Genomic DNA, 23,873 nt, shown 5'->3' on the forward strand with positions numbered 1-23,873 from the left:
GTTTTATAAAAGCCAGTCTTATTATTTCAAAAGAGAAAAGCAGCGAGGCTAGGGATAGGAAGAGAGCTTAGTCTCCTCTAGGGCCCGTTCTCCGCAGCCCGGTTTCCCCCACCCGAGTGACACCAGCGGGATAAGGCAGAGGGTCTGTCAGACAATAAGCCGGAAAGGGAACACGCATCTCCTTGGTGGACGCGGGCAGCCGGAGTGGGGACTCACCCGGGTGACCGAGCCTCCGCCACTGAGGATCCACAAGAGCTGCTTCCCGCGCTTCGGCTCGCTCACCACACTGCGCCTGCGCCGACCCGCCCACGCCCAGCGCAGGTCCCGACAGAGGTCGCCGGGTGGTGGCGTCAGCTGCGGCGCCCTCCGCGTGGAAATTAGCCGGTTGCCCGGGCAAATCAGGGAGGAAGGGAGGGAGCTGAACACGGAAGTGGTGGCGGCGCCCAGGGAACCGGCGGAGGCGATGACCGTGACGGCTGGGTTGGGACCGGAACGCCGAAGCGGGGTTGGGGGTGGCAGAAAAGCATCTGCTTTGTAAGACCTACACGAGGTGCAGGAGTGGTTGGGCCTCCCCTCTCCACTTAAGCAAGCGCCCAGACTGATGGCGATGGTGATGGCAGCAGTTACTCGCACAACCCCAGTTAAGCTGCGCTCCGGGAGGTGAGTGGGGGAAGGGTGGCCGCTGCCTGGCCTCGCAGGCCGGGGTCTTGTTCCTGCCCTCCAGGCTCTCCTCCCAGGAAACAATATCCGGATCCCTAAAAGGATCCGGTCTCTTTCTTGGGGCCCAGTTAGCAGACAGATCTTTGAGCATCTTCTCTGGAAAAGAAGGCGAGATCTTCTAGAGCCTCTAATCTTGGCATCCTTCGTGCCCTCACCTTGTCGCTTCTGTAGAGATAAAGAAGGAATGACTTAATTTCTGTTCCGGTTGGTTCTCTTGGTACCTGAAGGTATAATTAATTAATGCTCAATTAATGCTTATTCTTTGCGACTCTATATATCCGTTATGAAGAAAGTAACTTGTGTTCTCTATTCAGATCCCACCTAAAGTTTACTGAAGTGAATATTTATAACCAAAAGAAGAGTTATAACTTAGTAGCCTTGAGCACTTACATTTGATCCATGCAATATCTGCTAAAGTCTTGGCCACTAAGTTTAAGTTTATGCTTTTCTTGTATCTTCATTCTCCATATTGGTACAGCAGCCTGTGATGAAAACCTTCAGAATGATATTCTTTCATTTGTACTTATCTTTGAGAATTTTTCTGCGTTTTTGTGATACCTTCCAGTATCAATCACATTTATTTTATTACCTGAGACGTTTTTCTGTTGAAGAGGTTTCCCTATTGTTTTTTTCAATCTAGTTCCATTGTGAAAAGTTGCAAACACACAGGCAAACCGTCGTGTTCTTACCGTGGGTGGCATTGTGTGAGGCGTTGTTTTTAGTACTAGAGCTCCAGATAGCCTTGCTAGACGCTGAGGTTTGTATATGAATGAAGAGGAAGAATGATTGGCTTAAAAACAACTTGGGATTTGTGGAAAAATAACCCACTGTTGATCTCCCGAAAGAGCAGTGGTACCAGAGATGATGCTTTCTGAGTGACCTAATTTTTTTTTTTTGGAGATCATTTGTTTTTTGGATAGACTGGCTTATAAATTTTTTCGTTCAAGTAACAATATCATTGGCTAGAGTACATAGAGTTCAAGATGAACTCTCATAATATTCGTCTCTATGTTGAATAAAGCGTGGTGAGATTTCTGGTTAGTACTATTCAGAGCTCAGCATAAGAAGAATCTGCAAATTGGAACAAGTTATAGCTACAAAATGCCTTCACTATAATATCTGTAATACCCATGAGACTATGATTGATGTCCACACATCTGTCATTTTCTCTTATCAATCAAGCCATTTGATTCATAGGTTAAAGAACAATTTTCTTTGCAGATTTTGCATGTATGGTAAAAGCTTGAGCCTCCGAGTTTAACAGTCCTGGGTTTTAATTCTAACTGACACATTGTGTGACCTTGAATATGTTCCTTTACTGAAAATCGAATTCCTCATCTCTAAAATGGAGATGACACCTACCTCCGTCGCATTGTTAGAGTATATAGGAGATACTCATGGATGTATAAAAGTAATTGTTATTAATATCTCATGTTACTAAAGGGGTGCTTTGGGTGGGTATTTAGTGTTTTTTGTTTAAAGTGGGATTTGTTTAAATAATTATCCAGTAAATTTTTCAAATATTAAAAAATGTATTCTTGTTTTTGCTAGTATCATGTTTTCACAATTCCATTTGTTTCAGTCAAATGGCTACAAATTGTAATACCTTCAGTGAGTTTATGGTCTTGCTGAGGGAAATAGACATTCAAACAATATGATCAAGATGATAGTGCAGTAATGAAAGATGTGTAACTTAAATATTAGCAAAATTGTCTAGTTAGTTAAAATAACATAGTTTTTTAAAAAGAAATCAGTGTAGCTGTGTCACTGATAGGAGTATCAAAAATTTTCCAAATGTAGTTATTTGTCATTAACAGTGCTTATCTCATAGGTGTGGGTGGCTAAATGAACTGACTGAAAATGATGCCAAAGTCACAGATTGAATTGCAGTGATGGTTAGTTAGCTTTGCTGTGTTGTAACCACTCATACTACCCTTAGACTCACAAATATTTTTGCTCCCAAGGACAATTGGGTGAGAAAACATGGGTACATTGCCATTCTACCAATGATGGTATTACCTATATAAAATCATGTGATCTTACAGGATTTATCTAAGAGGATATATCAGTATTGGCTTATGGAAGGAGTTTAAAAAATTATTTTCTAGTAAAATATGTACTTGGTGTAAAAATGATTAATCTTGTGAAAGGTAAGGCTAGAAGAGTGTAACAATAGCCAAGGAGACCAAAGTATTGAAAAAAGAAACATTGAAGGCACTTTAGAAATGTGAAGATTTTTATATTTCCAAATGTGTCCTGAAACTTACTAGCCTATTTAATAATTTTGGGGTAAATAGTACTTGTCTGTATGTATACTTAATATGATATAAAAGGCAATACAGTAAAAGTCGTCCTCCTACTCATACTCCCAGCCATCCAGTTCCCCTGGCTAAAGACAGCCAGTATTTGATTCTTGTATTACATTAACACTAGATCCTTACTACAGCAAGATGAGATAATCAGTGTTATATAGATAGAAAAACAGAAAAGTTGTGATTTATCTAGTCTTTATCTAGTCACACACCTGCGAAATGTCAGAGCTAGAAATAGAACCCAGGTCTTTCACCTAGTCCAAGGTAGTCTACCGCACTGATTCTCCAAATCATAGCTGTTGCCACAAAACTTAGAATTTAGTAAAACATAAAGTGTAGAGTCACCTTTTACTAATTTGTACGTAAAACTTGTTACCCAACCTTAAATGTAAGCATATGTAATTGTTATAAAGCAGTGAAGAAAATATAATACAATCTTATAAAATCTTTGCCTGTTTCTACTTAAATCTATTTACTAAGCTTCTAAAAAACTACAATTTTTTGTTTTAAAGAATTTAAAACTTTTTAAAAATAATATATTTAACATCAGGAATAATATAAAGTGCTTTGTGATATTTCAGAAATGGAAGAGCCTCCTTGACTTCAGATTTCTGAGGCACGTTTTTGTGCAGATTTTCTAGCCTTACATATAGCCTTTGTTTCCCCTCCCCTTTTTCTTAAAAAAATAGTGTTCTTTAAAAAAAGTGTTCCCACCTCTCATTTTTAGAAATGTACTTCTTCTAACATGAAAAGTTCTGAGTAATACTAGGAAGCAGTTAATATTTCTTTTCATTAAGTTCAGTGTATGTTGTTTTCATACCTTTTACTCCTGGCAGTAAAAACATGAGGTAGCTGGCATTATCCAGATTTTACAGTGGGAGAACTTAAGCTAAATTAGATTTTTTTAAACCAGGTAACATACCTAGTGAGTGGAAAAGTCTGAATTGTAGCCCACATTTGACAGTTCAGCAGCTCATGCTATTTCATCTTCACCATGTTTATTTTCAAATATGGTATAGTGAAAAACAGTGTAGGTTGTTAATTTTTTACAGATCTTTAAAACTTTAAAATTTTCTCTTTATGCTTAATTGGTCTCACAAGAAAAAAGAATTCAAGGAAATAAGCCAAAATGTCAAAATTGCTTGCTTTTAAATAATGGAATTATAGCTTTTTTCCCCCTCCTTTTTAAACTTTTCTGAATGGTCCATGTATTATACAATGAGCATATATTGTTTTTATCATAACAAATTACAGATTGGAAGAAAAAATAAATCTGTTCAATCTAATTTATTCCATAAAATGGTTCAGTATTATATCTTAAATATTCTGTTTCTTAAATTCTGTTAATCTTCCTTCTGCTTTTAGAAGTTCAGGTACTGCCAGCTCGTAGTTTCTGCTTTCTTCACTCTAGATTAGCCCCTTCAGTGATGGGTTCCTAGACCTCTCTCCTTATCTTTAGCTAATAAGCTTAGGGAATGTACACTGATGTTAACAGATTAGCCCATTAATGTTTCCCCAAACTTTCTTCCACAAAAGGATTTATGGCAAAGTAAAGACAGGAAGCTATGGTTTATGCAGATTTCTTTACTGAAGGATCTCCTGGGAACGTTTGCTAAATATGCACTGTAATCTTTGAGAGAAGAAGCATTTCCCAAACTTATTTGACAAGAGAACCTTTTTTTCTCCAGAATATGTGTTAACATCTTTCAGAACTAGTGTCCACAAGAGTACAGAGTGGGGAAAAGTGACATAAGCAAACTATAATTAGGAAAGCATGGAAAAAGTGGGGAGAAAGGGAAAGGAGGGTGTAGTGCTACTAAATCAATGATTCTTTTTTAGAAAATTGCAATTAAGTCCCATGAGCCCTGGCTCAGTAGCATGAAAAAAGGAGATACTTTAAAATATTTACTGGAAAATGAACCTGTATTGCTTCTGTAATGAGAAAACATTTGTTTTTTAGGTCAGATATTTTCCCATACAAACAAACCTGTTTTCAGATTTTTTTCTTAACATTCCAAGGAGTTCATCTGTTGTCTGCTCTCCAGTGACTTCCGTTTGTGGAGCCTAAGTGTTTCTACAGAATCCAACTCAAATATCAAGGACTATGATCAGAATGCTTTCAAGGAGTTTTTGGGCACATGATGGCAGGTAAACTTTGGAATCATGAATTTCGTAGGGAAAGTCCCCAGGCTTAATTACTACCAGAATAATAATATATTTGTGAATTATTAATGTAGTATACTGAATTATTCTTTATAGGATCAAATGTATTCCAATTTAGTATTTACATTAGTTGTGGTGTTAGATGTATGTCAGCATCATAGACATAAGTAGTTCAATGAATAATTAACGTATGCAATAATGCTGTTATCCTACATCATAGAGGATACTAATTAATTTCCAGATAAATGAAGCTTATCCTTTTAATTATTGGATTTGAATTGTTTCCTGTAGAAATTTTGAATTAAAATCACCTTCTCAGCCTTAGTCAGTATTACTAAATGTTATTTAAATATTTTGTAATGAAAATTGACATAATGGGCACTCATTTTGTTATTGTTGTCATTGTAATTTGTGGTAGAACCTGGGACCAAATAGTGGCAGAATCTGGGTACTTGTTTTCTTGAGAAGGCTTTTATATAAACTTGCTTTTTAAACATTTGCTTTTTGCTCATTAAGAAATATGACTTAAAAAAAAAAAGATGTCATTCTGTACTCCCCAGGGCAATGTAACATAGCTGCCTTCGTAAAAAATTAATTATTGAATCAAGAGCCAAAGCAGCCTTTTCCCAAGTGATTCTTTCACCTTCTTTTTAAAAAGCTTTTTTGCAGCTACAGTCAAAGATCTTTGATTTGTCACCATCTTTCAAACCATCATCTTTGATTTCTGTGTCACATGAAATTGTTGGTAAAGCCACCTTATTATTATTCTACCTCATGTATACAAAGTTTTTTTTTTTCTTTTGAGACGGAGTCTCACCCAGGTTAGAGTGCAGAGGCACGATCTCAGCTCACTGCAAGGTCCGCCTCCTGGGTTCATGCCATTCTCCTGCCTCAGCCTCCCGAGTAGCTGGGACTAGAGGCGCCTGCCACCACACCCGGCTAATTTTTTGTATTTTTAGTAGAGATGGGGTTTCACCGTGTTAGTCAGGATGGTCTCGATCTCCTGACCTCGTGATCCACCCACCTAGGCCTCCCAAAGTGCTGGGATTACAGGTGTGAGCCACCGCGCCCGGCCCTATACAAAGTTTTTATAAAATTTTAAGAATTAATGATAGGCTATCTGGAACAACTTGTTCGGATTCAGAACCCTACACTTTTTTTTTACATTCAGATTTTACATGTATGGACAAGATACGAAAGCACAATTTCAAAAAACTAATCTTTAGTCTTCATAACAATAAAAATAATTTTTCTCTCACTAAAATTAAGTTATTTTTATTGAAAGCAACATGATTGATTTTTTTATATTTTAGAATTTTGGTTCAAAGAAGCTTCTGGAAGAGATTAGAAAATTCTCTTTATATGTGTTTAAGTATAAAGATATGAAAGTTTGATAGACTTCTCTCATTTTTTTGTAACAGAATCAAATAATGGTGAAAGAAATTCTAAATATCTTTTTTCTGATAAGATCTCTCCATAGCACACAGTTATTTTTTAAGCAGTTACTTTCTCAGTAATTGTTAAGATGTTACCTATGCCGAAAAGTGAATGATTAAATGTATGTGTTTTTAAAAAATATATCTATCTGCTAAGTAGCTTCTGAGAGCCACTTGTTATTTCAGTAATGGTTATGAAATTTAGAACACTTGTTATTTTGTAAAAGAAAAATGCACAACTCCTCTTAAAAGTTCAACAACTTATGTAAGTACTTTGTCTTGAGATAATTAGCAGACCTTGCATGTTATAAAACGTCTATGGTCATGTCTCATTACAAAGTATTTTAAAGATTCTCTTGTTTAAAATAATACAATCCACGAAATATTCTAGTAAGATATAAACAGTAAAGCTGGGCACGGTGGCGCATGCCTGTAATTCCAGCACTTTGGGTGGCCGAGGTGGGTGGATCATTTGAGGTCGAGGAATTCAACACCAGCCTGGCCAACATGGTGAAACCCTGTCTCTACTAAAAATACAAAAATTAGCTGGGCGTGGTGGCACATGTCAGTAATCCCAGCTACTGGGGAGGCTGAGGCAGGAGAATCACTTGAACCTGGGAGGTGGAGGTGCAGTGAGCCGAGATCGCACTGCTGCACTCCACCCTGGGTGACAGTGAGACCCTGTCTCAAAAACAAACAAACAAAAAGATATAAACAGTACACTGAAAGTTAATAAAGAAATGGAGAGGGCTGGCTGCCATAATTTGTCAGCTTTTTGGAATTCCCATTCTTCTCTTAGGAACAGCACAGACAAATGACCATCTGACAATGCATGATGGTAACATTATCAACCATATTTAGTACTAATATTAGTTTTTGTATGTTTTAGACAAATATAAATAGAAAAATTTTCTTCCAACTTTGAAGACTAAAATATCTGATGACATTCTGGATCATATATTGATGGGGCAAAAGATAACATTTTATAAAAGTAGGACTTCTTGAGCATGAACTTAACAGTTCTCTAGCAAAAGAATAGCTACGCAAAATTTATATAAAGCTCTAATTCTGAGATAGATACAAAACAGTAACTAATCAGAAAGTTTTCAGGCCAGTCGCGGTGACTCATGCCTGTAATCTTAGCACTTTGGGAGGCCGAGGCAGGTGGATCACGAGGTCAGGAGTTCAAGACCAGCCTGGCCAAGATGGTGAAACCCCGTCTCTACTAAAAAAAACTACAAAAATTAGCCAGGCGCGGTGGCAGGTGCCTGTAATCCCAGCTACTTGGGAGGCTGAGGCAGGAGAATCACTTGCACCCAGGCAGCAGAGGTTGCGCCACTGCACTCCAGCCTGGGCGACAGAGTGAGACTTCACCTCAAAAAAAAAAAAAGTTTTCATTGCATTAACTCTCTCTCTGTTTTTTTTTTTTTTTCCTTGACATGGAATCTTGCTCTGTCGCCCAGGCTGGAGTGCAATGGTGCAATCTTGGCTCACTGCAACCGCCGCCTCCCAGGTTCAAGCCATTCTTCTGCCTCAGCCTCCCAAGTAGCTGGGACTACAGGTGCACGCCACCACACCCGGCTAATTTTTGTGTTTTTAGTAGAGAGGAGATTTTGCCATGTTGGCGAGGCTGGTCTCAAACTCCTGACCTCAGATGATCCACCCACCTCGGCCTCCCAAAGTACTGGGATTACAGACATGAGCCACCGTGCCCGGCCTGCATTAGCTCTTTAAGTACAGGTGAACGTGTGGAAAACTCAACTAGGGCAGTGATATTTTTCACTTTATTTTATGGACATCTACAGCATTAGCACACGTAAAAACAGTTACCCTAAAATCCAAACACACTTGATTGACTGGTACCTGTAACATACAAGTTGGGAGTCTTGCAAAAGAAAACCTGTTTTGTTAGCGTGTAAACTTGTTCTTTGGGGGAAGATGTCAAATTTTTCTGTAACTTCATGGTCTATGAGTTTCACCTGTATCTGACATGTGGATCCTTTTTCACTTTGAAACATTAGTTTTCCTCCTGAAAATTATATTTGCTCATGAAAATCTCTTTACCTTGTAGTAACACTGCACTAGAGACAGAGGTATTCTGTGATTTCTTCATTATGAAGAAAACTGTAAAGCCAATAAGACTGGCTTAGGTGCTTTAACAAAACAACATATGTAATCTTTGTTTCTTTTTAAAACAAAAAGAAAATATGAACATATATGTTAACATATATTGAGTAATTAATACATTTAGGACCTGAGCTGAATACATGCATTATTTTATCCCCAACAGCCCAGTGAAATAGATAGCATTAGTACCTCCATTTTACATGTGAATGCACTGATGTTTCAAGGTTATATGGCTAGCACAAAACAGAAACTGGACTTAAACCATGTTTCTTTTTTTTTTTTCTTCCAGAAATATTTTAATAAAAATTGGCCATTTCCAAGAAACACCCACTGCATGCCCATGAATAAAAGAGAAACATAACAAAATAGAAAATTTACCATATGGCTATGATTTAAAGAAAAAAAAAATGCGGACACGAGCACATTAGCAAAATATTAAAGTCACATGTCTTCTTATGGACTCAAACCATGTTTCTAATGCCTGCCGCCGCTATGCTGTGGGAATGCATCCTTGCCATCCATATACATATATAGAGATACTGAGAATGTTAAAGTGGTTACTGCTGGGTGGTGGGATTATGGATATATTTACTTTTTCCTTATAACTTTATGCCTAGTTTGGGTTTTCCATGGTGAGCATGAATTTTCCTTCTCAGAAAGACTTAGTATCTCCTCTTTATCTCTAGGCTTCTAAAATTAGAATAATGTACTTTGATGTTGAGTGGGATCTTTCAATATGGAGGTGCCTGTCCTTTAGTCCTGGGACATTTTCTAACCTTTTTTTTTTTTTTGAGATGAAGTCTCACTCTTGTCCCTCAGGGTGGAGTGCGATGGCATGATCTTGGCTCACTGCAACCTCTGCCTCCAGGGTTCAAGTGATTCTCCTGCCTCAGCCCCCCGAGTAGCTGGGATTACAGGTGCCTGCCACCACACCCAGCTAATTTTTGTATTTTTAGTAGAGACGGGGTTTTACCATGTTGGCCAGGCTGGTCTAGAACTCCTGACCTCAGGTGATCCACCCGTCTCGGCCTCCCAAAGTGCTGGGATTACAGGCTTGAGCCACCACACCCGGCCATTCCTGGGAAATTTTCTAATATAGTTTCTTTAATAATTTCTCCCGTCCATTTTGTTGTTGTTTTCTGTGAAATGCCTATATTAATCTCTAATTTTCTTGTCTTTTCTGTCTAGTTAACCATTTTTTCCTATTTGCTGTATTAGTTCCTAAGCATACCCACGAACTTTTCTATTGAATATTTTATTTCAGGCCAGGTGCAGTGGCTCACACCTGAAAATCCAAGCACTTTGGGAGCCAAGGTGGGCAGATCACTTGAGCCCAGGAGTTCAAGACCAGCCTAGATAACATGGCAGGACCCCATCTCTACAAAAAAATACAAAAATTAGCCAGGCATGGTGGCATGCACCTGTAGTCCCAGTTATTTGGGAGGCTGAGGCAGGAGGATCACTTGAGCCCTGGGAAACAGAGGTTGCAGTGAGCTGAGATCAGTGCCACTGTACTCCAGCCTGGGTGACAAAGTGAGACCCTTTCTCAATAAAAAAAAAAATTATTTTAGCAATCATATTTTTTTTTTTTTTGAGACAGAGTCTCACTCTGTCGCCCAGGCTAGAGTGCAGTGGCATGATCTCGGCTCACCACAGCCTCCACCACCCGGGTTCAAGCAATTCTCCTGCCTCAGCCTCCCGAGTAGCTGGGACTACAGGTGCCTACCACTGTGCCCAGCTAATTTTTGTAGTTTTAGTAGAGACAGGGTTTCACCATCTTGGCCAGGCTGGTCTTGAACTCCTGACCTGATGATCCACCTGCCTCCCAAAGTCCTGGGATTACAGGCGTGAGCCACCGTGCCTGGCCTAACAATCATATTTTTAATTTCCAAAAAAATTCTTATTCTAGTTGTCTCCACCTCTTTTTTTTTATTTTTTTTTTAGAAGGAATTTCACTCTTGTCACCCAGGCTGGAGTGCAGGGGTGCAATCTCGGCTCACTGCAACCTCCGCCTCCCGGATTCAAGCGATTCTCCTGCCTCAGCCGCCCAAGTAGCTGGGATTACAGGCGCCTGCCACCACACCCAGCTAATTTTTATATTTTTAGTAGAGACAGGGTTTCACTGTGTTGGCCAAGCTGGTCTTGAACTCCTGATCTCAGGTGATCCTCCCGCCTCGGCCTCCCAAAGTGCTGGGATTACAGGCATGAGCCACTGTGCCCGGCCCCTACCTCCTTTTTATACCATCTTACTTATTCATAGTTGTAATATCTTTTCTTGACTTGAAGTAAGTCAATTTTAGTTTCTACTCTTTCCATGGTTATTGCTTTCTCCAAATTCTGTATATTTTGTTATTTCATATATGTTAGAAGCTTTCCTCAAAAGTCTTATATTAGTCTGTTCTCATGCTATTAAAGACATACCCAAGACTGAGTAATTTATAAAGCAAAGAGATTTAATTGACTCACAGTTCCACATGGCTGGGGAGGCCTCATAATCATGGCAGAAGGTGAATGAGGAGCAAAGTCACATCTTACATGGTGGCAAGCAAGAGAGCTTGTGCAGGGGAACTCCCATTTATAAAACCATCAGATCTCAAGAGACTTATTACCATGAGAACAGTATGGGGGAAACTGCCCTCATGATTCAATTATCTCCACCTGGCTGCACCCTTGACACATAGGGATTATTGCAATTCAAAGTGAAATTTGGGTGGGACACAGGCAAACAATATCAAGTCTGATAACCCAGGAGTGTTCTTTCATAGTTTAGAGTGTACAGCTATGTTGCCTGGAAGCTGTGTGTGAGTAGCCAGGGCCTGTGGATATGTGTGCTTCACTGTATGCTTGGGTGGTCTTCTAGCTTTTTATTGGAGGATTCCCAGCTATCAGCTTTGACAGATCTTTTCTCTTTGGCCATTCTCTTTCTCCAGGAAAGTATCTGCCACTCTTCTGTTAGGGAGGTATAAATCTAGCTGCTGGAGTTCTGGGAGCTGGATGGCAGAAGAGAACAAGGAACTTTTACTTTGTTTCTGTTTTTTAGGCCCAGTCTTCCCCTCTACCCTCTGCTGTGTCTGGTATTTAAAGTCCTGAGCCCACCTAGTTCAGTTTCTCCAAATAATAAATGTCCCATCTCCTCTAAATGTGGATAAGAAACTGAGAAATCTACCTGCTCTTAGGCAGAATTTCAACTTATCTCCCCATGTTCCACCCTGTTCTCCACCCAGACTTTCTGTAGCACCCAGTGCCTGTGGGTCCTGAATTGTACCTGCTCTGTTGGCTTGTGTCTTATCTGTGTTACCTCTGTGCCTGATGTCTGTCACCTGCATCTCTGCTGCTGAGTCAGTTATTGTTCATTTGTTTTCTGTACTTCTATTTTATGACTCAGGTTATAGATATCTGTTCATTTCATTGAAGAAGAGGTTTGTGATTTTATTTCTCATATTTTCTTGTTGTTTGGACTGACTTCTGAGAGAAGGGTGGGGCAAAAAGATTTTTACTCAGCCATTTTCTGACTGGAGTAATTTTTGTTTTATAATGAGAAAAAACCAAAAAGCTGTCTTCATCTTGAGGGGAAATTAAGTTACACTACTCATTGAGAAATTTAGGGCTGGGCTCAGTGGCTCATGCTTGTAATCCCAGCACTTTCACTTGAGCCTGGGAGTTCAAGACCAGCCTGGGCAACCTAGGGAGACTCTGTCTCTACAAAAAAATTTTAAAAATTAGTCTGGCATGGTGGCACGTGCCTGTATTCCCTACTACTCCAGAGGCTGAGGCAGGAGAGTCACTTGAGCCTGGGAGGTCGAGGCTGCAGCAAGCCATGATTGCACCACTGCACTCCAGCCTGGGCGATAGAGACCCTGTCTTAAAAAAATAAAATGAATTTAGTAGAAATGGGAACAGTTACGACCAAGAAAGCATTATAATAATCACTGAAACATTTTATAAGCAGACTTAGTTGTTTTTGAAGGTAGCAAGAAGTTTGAGAGAGAAATTGAAGTAGGGCCTTGGTAAAGGTGAGAATGTCATCAAGAACACAGGTAGAGGCCAGGCGCGATGGCGCATGCCTGTAATCCCACCACTTTAGGAGGCCGAGGTGGGCGGACCACGAAGTCAGGAGATCGAGACCATCCTGGCTAACATGGTGAAACCTTGTCTCTACTAAAAATACAAAAAAAAATTATCCGGGCATGGTGGTGGGCACCTGTAGTCCCAGCTACTCTGGAGGCTGAGGCAGGAGAATGGAGTGAACCCAGGAGGTCGAGCTTGCAGTGAGCCGAGATCGTGCCACTGCACTCCAGCCCAGGCAACAGAGCAAGACTCCGTCTCAAAAAAGAAAAAGAAAAAAAGAACACAGCTAGAGAGCTTAGCTCTCATATGGAAGTGAAGGAAGAAATGCCACAATTTAGAGGTAGCAAGGAGACAAGACTAGAGGTCACACTCATAAGTGAAGTTCATTTAGTAAATAAAAGCGCCAAGCATTTCAAACCTTATTAATAAATGACTCTTCATATTCTTCAGCCCATCTTGTTGCTTCTAATTTTTGTTCAATGGAATTTAGTCAATGAACAGCCAAAGCAGGCAGTTGAATACAATTTTGGCTGTGCTAAGTGATGAAGTTTCTTTCAAAATTAAATAAGAAATACTTTTCCTTAAAGATCTTAAATGGTTATATATCATTGAGCACACTAAATCAAAATACAGTTGTCTCTGCGTATCCAAGGGAGATTGGTTCTAGGACCTCTGCAGATACCAAAGTCCATGGATGTTCAAATCCCTTAAAATAAAATGGAGTGATATTAGCACATAACCTACACATGTCCTCCCAAACACTTTTAATCATTTCTAGATTACTTATAATACTACAATGTAAATGCTATATAAAGAGTTATTATAGGCCGGGCGCACTGGCTCATGCCTGTAATCCCAGCACTTTGGGAGGTCCAGGCAGGCAGATCACAAGGTCAGGAGATCGAGACCATCCTGGCTAACACAGTGAAACCCCGTCTCTTCTAAAAATACAAAAAATTAGCCGGGCGTGGTGGTGGGCGCCTGTAGTCCCAGCTACTCGGGAGGCTGAGGCAGGAGAATGGCATGTACCCGGGAGGCAGAGCTTGCAGTGAGTCGAGATCATGCCACTGCACTCCAGCCTGGGCGACAGAGCGAGACTCCATCTCAAAAAAAAAAGAGAGTTATTATACTGTATTGCTTTTAATTTATTGGGGATTTTTTCCTTGAATATTTTCAATCTACAATTGGTTGAATCTGAGGATGGAGAACCCATGGATATGGAGGGCTGACCATAATAACTATAATCACCAGATGGTTTTTTTTTTTTTTTTGGAACTGGGGTCTCACTCTGTCACTCAGACTGGAGTGCAGTGACACGATCATGGCTCACTGCAACCTCTGCCTCCCAGGCTCATATGATCCTCCCAGGCTCCTGTGTAGCCGAGACCACAGGCGTGCGCCACCACACCCAGCTAATTTTTTGTATTTTTGTTAGAGACAGGGTTTTGCCATGTTGCCCAGGCTGGTCCCAAAGTCAGCTCAGGTGATCCACTCACCTTGGCCTCCCAAAGTGCTGAGATTACAGGCATGAGCCACTGCACCTGGCCTTAGAAATGGAGTTCTTTATATGGCAAGTCTTTATTATTAGTTCACACTTTTAAACACTTGACAGTCATATTTTCTGATATAGATACTTGTTTCAAATCCCACTACTTTGAAAATGGATTCAAGTGTCTGTAGACATTTACTTGACTGTTGGGATTTTTAAATTTTCCTGTGACATAATCAGACAATCATATCAGACTGTTGAGTATGACTGATTTTTTTTGTTGCAAAATTTATTTTTCATTTGTAAAATATTTGAGATTATAGGACCCCTTCCCCAAGTTCCTGGCGTAAATCTTTTTTTTTTTTCCTCCAAGACAGAGTCTTGCTCTGTCACCCAGGCTGGAGCGCAGAGGTGCGATCTCAGCCCACTGCAACCTCTGCCTCCCGGGTTCAAGCAGTTCTCCTCAGCCTCCCTAGTAGCTGGGATTACAGGCACCCGTCACTGTGCCTGGCTAATTTTTGTATTTTTAATAGAGACAGGGTGTCACCATGTTGGCCAGGCTGGTCTCGAACTCCTGACCTCATGATCCACCCGCCTCAGCCTCCCAACGAGCTGGGATTACAGGTGTGAGCCACCGTGCCCAGCCAACCCTTAATCTTTTTTTTTTTTTTTTTTTTTTTTTTGAGCTGAAGTCTCGCTCTGTCCCCCAGGCTGGAGTGCCGTGGCGCAGTCTTGGTTCACCACAACCTCCACCTCCTGGGTTCAAGTGATTCTCCTGCCTCAGCCTCCCGAGTAGCTGGGATTACAGGCGTGCGCCGTTGCACCTGGCTAATTTTTTGTATTTTTAGTAGAGATGGGGTTTCACTGTTTTGGCCAGGCTGGGCTGGTCATGAACTCCTGACCTCAGGTAATCCGCCTGCCTCAGCCTCTCAAAGTGCTAGTATTACCACCTCCCCTGGCAACCCTAAATCTTATTCTGCATAAGAATACTTAAGTAAATTCCATTTACAAACAATCATTATCATTAGTCTTCATGAAACTCGGTATTTTACATTGCAAATTCTAGTATGTTTTACCAACTTCAGAGGAAAGGCAGTGCCTTATAGAAATTTATCTGCTTGTTTTCAAATGATCAAGAATACAAATGAGTATGTGTTTAAAATGGCTAATTTTTATCAATTTTGTATTTTCTAAAAATTGCCTAGACTAATGGTAAAGTTGACTAATTATTGAAGTGAGTTTAAAACACTGTATTGGGAATGCTTACTGAGCATTTTTGCTGTTCAATGGTGATTGTTTATTTAATAAATTCTTACAGCTTTACAACTTAAAATTGTTCATATTTTAATCAGTAGGGAAGGAAATAGGGAGAAGAAGGTGAAGGAACTATGTAGGGTAGTAGTTCTCAAATACCAGCTCATAGATTTGTGTCTGTCTTCTACAAATAATTCACTGGTCTGCTGTGAAATAAGAAAACTATGGTAAGGAGAGATGAGCATAAGATATACTTCAAGACTAGAAACTATTCACATTTGAGTATTTATTATGGTTGATAGAGGAGGCTTGGCTTTTTCTTATCCACACTGAAAATTAGCTATGAGAAAGGAACTCACTCTTCACTCTATGGCACTATTAAGTTATCATGTATATTATATAATATATAGCATGTTATTTAAGTGGGAACAAAGTGTCTTGGGACTCCCTTCCAACATCTCTTTTTCATGTACTAACTGTGCTTTTCCCTCTTGTGTCTAATAGAAGCTTAATATGTAAACTAGACAAGGTAGATGACAAATGGTTAATGACTTTTTTTTGTTTTCTTTAGATACATCCAGAAAGTGCCCAGAAGAAACTTCCTGCTGGAAAAAATGAAAAAGCAGTATTTATAACATTAGAATCTGGATAATTTGTTAACATGGCAGAAAATAATGAAAATATTAGTAAAAATGTAGATGTAAGGCCCAAAACTAGTCGGAGCAGAAGTGCCGACAGAAAAGACGGTTATGTGTGGAGTGGAAAGAAGTTATCTTGGTCAAAAAAGAGTGAGAGTTATTCAGATGCTGAGACAGTGAATGGTATAGAGAAAACCGAAGTGTCTTTAAGGAACCAAGAAAGGAAGCACAGCTGTTCATCCATTGAGTTGGACTTAGATCATTCCTGTGGGCATCGATTTTTAGGCCGATCTCTTAAACAGAAACTGCAAGATGCCGTGGGGCAGTGTTTTCCAATAAAGAATTGTAGTAGTCGGCACTCTTCAGGGCTTCCGTCTAAAAGGAAAATTCATATCAGTGAACTCATGTTAGATAAGTGTCCTTTCCCACCTCGATCAGATTTAGCCTTTAGGTGGCATTTTATTAAACGACACACTGCTCCTATAAATTCCAAATCAGATGAATGGGTAAGCACAGACTTGTCTCAGACTGAATTGAGGGATGGTCAGCTAAAACGAAGAAATATGGAAGAAAATATAAACTGTTTCTCACATACCAATGTTCAGCCCTGTGTCATAACCACCGACAATGCTTTGTGTAGAGAAGGTCCTATGACTGGCTCTGTGATGAACCTGGTTTCAAATAACAGTATAGAAGATAGTGATATGGATTCCGATGATGAAATTCTAACACTTTGCACAAGTTCCAGAAAAAGAAACAAACCCAAATGGGATTTGGATGATGAAATCCTGCAGTTGGAAACACCTCCTAAATACCACACGCAGATTGATTATGTCCACTGTCTTGTACCAGACCTCCTTCAGATCAATAACAACCCATGTTACTGGGGAGTGATGGATAAATACGCAGCCGAAGCACTACTGGAAGGAAAACCAGAGGGTACCTTTTTACTTCGAGACTCAGCACAGGAAGACTATTTATTCTCTGTTAGTTTTAGACGCTATAGTCGTTCTCTTCATGCTAGAATTGAACAGTGGAATCACAACTTTAGCTTTGATGCACATGACCCCTGTGTCTTCCATTCTCCTGACATTACTGGGCTCCTAGAACATTATAAGGACCCAAGCGCCTGTATGTTCTTTGAACCACTTCTATCCACTCCCTTAATTCGGACTTTCCCTTTTTCCCTGCAGCATATATGCAGAACAGTTATTTGTAACTGTACAACTTATGATGGCATCGATGCCCTTCCAATTCCTTCTTCTATGAAATTATATCTGAAGGAATATCATTATAAATCAAAAGTTAGAGTACTCAGGATTGATGCACCAGAACAGCAATGCTAGTAACAGGATGGGAACATGGGAATGATAATATATATTTTTTCTTTTAATATTTTATTTTTCTTTTTATGCCACTTTGGATTTTTCTACAAAGGCAGTGGTGTCCAAAATAAAATCTCTGCCCTAAATTTTACTAATAAATCCATTTTTCTAGTGATACACAAATTGTTTAAGGTTATACACTCGAGCTTAAATAGATATTTTTAACCAGGTGTTTGGTTTTTGTTTTTACCGTGTAGGTTGTATACTTACATTTTTTCTTTCCTTAATTTATACATGATCCTTTTTCCTTAATTTATACATGATCCAGGCACATTTGAAATTTGGTAGGCATTGCAAACACATTTGAATATTGTGTATTTCATACTATTCTTTAAAAGTAATCTTATGTCCTTTCCTACATGTAAAATATTTTGTTAATCTATGCCATTAGTAGTATTATATATAAAATATAGTTCCCCGTCCCCCTTTTCATTGAGTTTGATATTCTTCAGTAAAGCTGAATGTTGTAATTCACCATTCATACTAATGTTATTGACTTTTGTAACTTACTAATAGGGATGTTAAAAGTAACAAAACCAAGTCAAACTTGGTGTATTTTTATTTTAAATATTAACTCTAAAGCAGGATTACTAAATTTGATTAATCTGGTCAATGAGAATCAAATGGAAACATATCATTCTGGAGGTGCACTTACTCTTCTACAATGTGGCCGGATCATTTGTCATTCCTGAATAGGTCTTTCTCTCAACCTGCAAGAGCTAAACCATCTTCAAAACATAAATCTTGTTCCTTTCTCATTGGAAGCTTTGAAAATAATGATAACACTATTAGTAGCTAGTAGTTACTAAAGTGCTAAAGTAATTGTGGGGTTTTTCTGTATTAGCTTATGAACTGTTGCTTCTACTTAGCCCTTTTATAGAAACTCTGAGCTGTTACTTTGGGGAAATTCCACAATGTATTAGCAGCCACAAATTTCCACTGGTAACCAAAGAGTACCTAAGTAGTTTTTCATTATTTTAAGTTGAATTTGAATAAAGATTCCAGAAATAAACATGGAGCTCAGTATTCAGGAAGCTTAATACTGTTTTTGATCTACAAGATCCAAATAATTATCCCTATCTTCAGAATTAACTTAGTCTGTAATGTGGCTTCAAAAAAAGAAAGCCTTTTGACAGCTACATGACTTACACCATACAGAACAGTACTGGACAAAAGGGGTGATATTTTAAATTTACTATCCCAGAAACAGGGCAACGTTTTTAGAAACATCTTTAGCCCAAAGTAACTAGTAAAAATAAATGGAGTGGTATCCTATCTTCTTTTTTTAAGGAATCAATGAATAATAAATGTAGATAGACAATTTTCTTCTGGTGAGCTGTCTAACCCTTTGTACACATTGACATTTTTAATATCGTAACTGATTTCTTGATGCTAGTTTAGCTATATTAGGAAACTGCTTCTACCTAGATTGAAAGAAATTTGACTCATAAACTTCCAAGTTAGAACAAATATTTCTTCATTATTGTTGCTTTTATGTGAGTAGCATTTCCCTATCTTGCAGTTCTGTTAACATGAAAATGGCATTTTTCCATAATAGCTTTAAAATAATTTTTTAGTAATTATTACAAAATTAAGGAAAATCTCTATTACCGTTATCTTTTAGCATTTTTTTTTTCCTCAGTGATCTCAAGATTGTCTTAGTCTCAATGAGATGTAGCTACAAAAATGGCACCTCTTAGCAGTGATGAGGCTCAGGATATCGGATATCATAACACCAATGTCAGGATAAATATCTCTTCTAAAGACGATATTTACCTTTTACAAGGTTAGAAAAGTCTCATACTACCTCATCTTTATTGTGGCGCTTTTGTAGATCACTGAGAAGCTTATCTTATTAACCAATATACCACTTCCTAAATATCCATCTTTGGTGAAAGAAAATAGTGTGGTAAGAGTACCCATGATTATAGTTTTTTATCAGAATTTGATAAGATTTTCTGTTTCTGTGAAACAATTATTTTAAATATTTTTCTTTTAAAAATAACTTTTTATCAGTACAGAAAAACCTAAGGGATGACTAGCTTACAAATATTCTGTTAAGGGGTAGTTTTATAAAGAAAAATGATATATAGTTATGTTGTCTTTTATAGTGTTAAAATTAGTATTTATATGAAAGTCAAGATCTAAGTACCTTTTCATATAATTCAAACTGATTGCTTGTGATATGTTTTCTCTGGCTTTTTTATTTTTTCAACTTCAAGGTATTAACAGCTGTTAACACTTAAAAAGTACTGCCACATATGTAGCCTTGAAGTAGTTGATCTAATAAATGAGAGCAGGGAGGAGATTCATTGACTCTGAAATGATTTTTATTTTTCCTTTGGTATTTGCTACAGTGAAAAGAAGTTTGGAAAGTAGATACATAAAGACTTGAGAAGGGAATTGTTTAAGGGAAAAGAAAAGAGTAATAATTTTTTTTAAAACATTAAGGAATTGGAATTCAGAAAGGTTACCCCCTTCCTCTGTGTCTTTGTAAGGATACATTTGGAAGAACATACAGTATTCAGAAACTAACCTATATAAAATGTAAACAATATATTGATTGCACTATATAAATGAGTAAATTTTGAGAGGAACAATGTGGGAATGTATAAATTTGTCTAAAATTTTATAACTGTTGAACAAAGGGAAGATTTGAACAGTGTAAATTCCAGAGTTGAGAAAGCATTTAGCATGGTGGAAATGTGGAGAGCTTATTGGTGAGAGAGGATGGAGCTAAGAGAAATAAGATCAAATATTAAAATTAGGAATTTAGGCATTACCTCAGGGAAAAGCCTTGACAGTGAAAAGAAACTACTTAATCGCTAATAGCTAGTCTGGACCAGACACTTAACTGCGCTTTGGGAATCATCCTGGGCTAATCAGGAAATAAACTTGACTTTTCTATTTTTCTCTGAAGCTTTACAGGACATACTCCCACTCCCATTTTTTTCTAAGCCTACAGCATCTTGATTCATAGTATAATTCCTGAAGTATGCTGAATGGACTTTTTAAGGTTCCTTTAGCATTTTTGTATAGAGTTATATGTGATCTTTCTATAACCATGCCATTCACTTAAATAATTCATGAAGGGAATGGTTTAATTTAAAGGAAGACCTAATAGGAAGAAGATTAAAGGAAGCTTTTAGTCAGCCTGTGGCTAGATTTATTGATTTGGTGATCAAACCTGTGCTATTTCCTGAATTTCAGCTAATGGCCAACTGTGGTCAAAGAATGGCTTTCAGTTAAAGTTTTGACTTCTTATTATAAATAATATAAAGAATGTCTCAGTAATTAGAAATCCCTTAATAAGTAGAACAAATGTGGCAAGTAGGACTCCTATCGGTATACAAATTCCATTTCTTTTTATAAGAAAAACACATAAACCATTATCATTTATTCATGAGCCAAAGCCATTAAGAAGATAAATCCAGTTATCAGCTTCCTGTCTCTGAAGTTTGGATCATTTTATAGATCCACGCAATAGAGAGCTTCCTTCCTATGAAACAAAAACCTTGAGATCTCTTTTTTTTTGAGACAGAGTCTCGCTGTTGTCAGCCCAGGCTGGAGTGCAATGGCGCAATCTCGGTTCACTGCAACCTCTGCCTTCCAGGTTCCAGCAATTCTCCTACCTCAGCTCCCAAGTAGCTGAGATGACAGGCGTGTGCCACCACGCCCAGCTAATTTTTGTATTTTTAGTAGCGATGGTGTTTCACTACATTGGCCAGGCTGGTCTCGAACTCCTGACCTCAGGTGACCACCCGCCTCAGCCTCCCAAAGTGCTGGGATTACAGGCATGAGCCACTGTGCCCGGCCAAGATCTAACTCACGCTTACTTTTCATTAAAATATTTCTTGTCGCTTTTAGCTATTGTCAGAATCCAATAAACAGCTTACGCATTCATTTTGGTAAAGCAAATTTCACAGGAAAATAGACAAAATTATAAGAGATTCCTGGAGACAACACAAGGAAAACAATGTTTAAAAGCAAAATAGCCTGTGTAATGTTAGGTAATGTAATGCCCAAGTGAATAAAAGATTTTTCGTCAAGCAAACTACTGTTTCTACTTTGGGGGAAAAAAGTCAGTTTTACATTTGTAATTTAAGGAAAGAACAGAAAGCACAAAGGTTTTTCTTTTCTTTATTAATGGCCTACTAGAAATGAGCAGTGCAAGAGTCTACCTGTACTATTCTAATACAGTAAGATATTGGACACAAAATGGAGGTAACTTTTTAAAATAGATTGGCTTGGAAGTTGAAATGTAGATTAATGGATATAACCCAATAGAAAGGGATTTTCAAATAAAACCAAAGTCTATTTTTTTATTTACTTTCTAATTTTGAACAGATGACTCAGTCCTAAATCTTTGCCTTTATTTCCTATAAAATGTAGGTGATACTTGTAACTCGACTTCCTGGAGTTAATTCTTCAGCAAGAGGTGACCCTGGGAGCGTACTTTAAAATAATTGCTGTACAGCCATTGAGTACTAACATGATGATAGGTTTTCAAAATATCTTTGTAGTGGATGCTGCATAATTACATTCACTTCTCTTAGACTGTAAAAGACTTTCTTGACTTGTTTTAACAGTAGAGATAGCAGTACAATTTGAATTTATGGTTTAGGCTCTGCAATTAGAGGAACAATTGCAGTTTCCTCCTACCCTTCATATGGTCTGTGTAAAACTGATGTTTGCTTAACTTATTTTAAAAGTTGATTACGTTTTCAGAAAATAAAGATAATCACTTTTGCCATGGTTATAATCAAATCTAAGCTTTCAGACTTGAGAGCCATGGTGTAAAACTCAAGGAGGTTTATTTAAATTATGCTGACTTTGCTAGAATTGGATAAATTCTGTATAAGCCAAGTATGAGTTCACATGTACTCGAATATACAGTTTTCACAAAGCTATTACTCTCATCAGTCAGGCTTGTATGATCTATTCCTTACCACAAAAGAAGTAGACAATTGCCACTTTTATTTCTAATCCTTAAGTTGAATGTTTCTTCTTGGATGTAAGTTCAAATAAATTGATCTGGATAAATTTTCATTTCTACTTAATTAAAACTTCCTATGTAAAATCCAAAGGCTTTGTGTTTTATTTTAAAAACATAGTCTTTACTTCACACATTCAACTTAGAATCTGAAAAAGATAGAGAAACCCATATTCTTACATATTTTCTAATTTATAATACACTCCTTTTAGTTTTTTTGTGTTTGGGACTTCCAGAAGCAGGTGCCAAAATGTGATTAGAGGTGCAAGAGATTTATTTGGAGTGAAACACCTAGAAAGATAGAGAAGGGAGCAGAAGGTGGGGAATTCTTCATACCACACAGAAAGTCTGACACCTAGAAGGAAGGATTGGGTAGGGGAGCTTCGGACTTCAGTGCATCTTGAGACTGCTAGATGAGGACTTGGTTCCCAAGCAAAGGTTGCCTGTAGAGAAGCCCACAGGGACAGGAATGGCCTAGATCTAGACCCCTCCAACGTGCTCAGCTACTGGCTGATTGCAGGCAAGGAAAAGTTGGAGGCTATCCATTACTGGTACACAGCGCCAGGACTAGGGTATGGTGAGGCACTTAGGGACAAATATTTGACTATACGACTAAGGAAGACAATGTTTTGGTACAATATTGTAATATCTGAATTGATGCAAAAAAGCCTATGATGAGCAAGATACCAAATTTCAAATCAAACCTGACCAGATTACTGATTTCTTGTTGCTTCAGGTTTCAGCATGGCTCAAGGCACTGCTGATTCACTGTCACCAGTGAGAACAGGCTAGGTCCACACCAGTCGTGTAATTTTCCATAGGCCTGTGTGCCCTTACCCAAAAATAAGACTCTCGGCTTAGGTATTTGAAGTTCCTCTGTTGCCCCTTTTTCAGTGTGAGAATTGTGTGTGCTGTGGAAAACATCCAGGGATGTCTTCCTTTAAACAAGTTCATGGTTAAATGGCCACCCACTCACTCACTAATGCCTTACACAAAGCAAGATGCAAGTGTACCACATACTTTTAGGATATTTTTATATCTTAAAAAATGTATATTGGCCGGGCACAGTGGCTCACGCCTGTAATCCCAGCACTTTGCCGAGGAGGGCGGATCACAAGATCAAGAGATCGAGACCATCCTGGCCAACGTGGTGAAACCTCGTCTCTAAATACAAAAATTAGCTGGGCAAGGTAGCGCGCGCCTGTAGTTCCGGCTACTTGGGAGGCTGAGGCAGGAGAATCGCTTGAACCCGGGAGGCGGAGGTTGCAGTGAGCCGAGATCGCACCGC

The 23,873-nt window shown here is 38.6% G+C and overlaps 2 protein-coding genes across 7 annotated transcripts in view, besides 3 other annotated features; one reads left to right on the top strand and one right to left on the bottom strand.

Moving 5' to 3' along the window:
- The window catches only part of WDHD1 (WD repeat and HMG-box DNA binding protein 1), an 88,151-nt gene extending 87,863 nt beyond the window's left edge, over positions 1–288 (bottom strand). For all 3 annotated transcript variants that reach the window (NM_001008396.3, XM_006720012.2, NM_007086.4), the window contains exon 1: positions 217–288. The gene's annotated coding sequence lies outside the window, so the exon portion shown is untranslated. The remainder of the gene's footprint in view (positions 1–216) is intronic.
- Positions 110–637: an enhancer, noted in NCBI's record as "OCT4-NANOG-H3K27ac hESC enhancer chr14:55493639-55494166 (GRCh37/hg19 assembly coordinates)". NCBI's record gives its function as "activates a minimal SCP1, AML or CMV promoter by ChIP-STARR-seq in naive and primed H9 embryonic stem cells {active_cell/tissue: H9 hESC(naive and primed)}" and the evidence as "EXISTENCE:reporter gene assay evidence [ECO:0000049][PMID:30033119]".
- Positions 266–315: a silencer, noted in NCBI's record as "silent region_5777". NCBI's record gives its function as "represses an Ori minimal core promoter by ATAC-STARR-seq in GM12878 lymphoblastoid cells {active_cell/tissue: GM12878}" and the evidence as "EXISTENCE:reporter gene assay evidence [ECO:0000049][PMID:35858748]".
- SOCS4 (suppressor of cytokine signaling 4) lies at positions 425–22,678 on the top strand. Of its 4 annotated transcripts, none has more exons than XM_011536425.2 (3): positions 425–660; positions 4,993–5,180; positions 16,141–22,678. In XM_011536425.2, exon 3 carries the CDS (start codon positions 16,231–16,233, stop codon positions 17,551–17,553), a length of 1,323 nt encoding a protein of 440 aa, XP_011534727.1. In that variant the 5' UTR covers positions 425–660; positions 4,993–5,180; positions 16,141–16,230; the 3' UTR covers positions 17,554–22,678. The 4 variants fall into 4 exon arrangements, with proteins under 4 accessions (XP_011534727.1, NP_955453.1, XP_011534728.1 ...); NM_199421.2 differs by having other exon boundaries at positions 5,052–5,180; XM_011536426.2 differs by having other exon boundaries at positions 5,078–5,180.
- Positions 638–1,164: an enhancer, noted in NCBI's record as "OCT4-NANOG-H3K27ac hESC enhancer chr14:55494167-55494693 (GRCh37/hg19 assembly coordinates)". NCBI's record gives its function as "activates a minimal SCP1, AML or CMV promoter by ChIP-STARR-seq in naive H9 embryonic stem cells {active_cell/tissue: H9 hESC(naive)}" and the evidence as "EXISTENCE:reporter gene assay evidence [ECO:0000049][PMID:30033119]".
- Positions 22,679–23,873: the final 1,195 nt, after the last annotated feature.

The sequence above is a fragment of the Homo sapiens genome, chromosome 14 (assembly GCF_000001405.40).
Source record: "Homo sapiens chromosome 14, GRCh38.p14 Primary Assembly".
In the NCBI taxonomy this organism is placed as follows: Eukaryota; Metazoa; Chordata; class Mammalia; order Primates; family Hominidae; genus Homo; species Homo sapiens.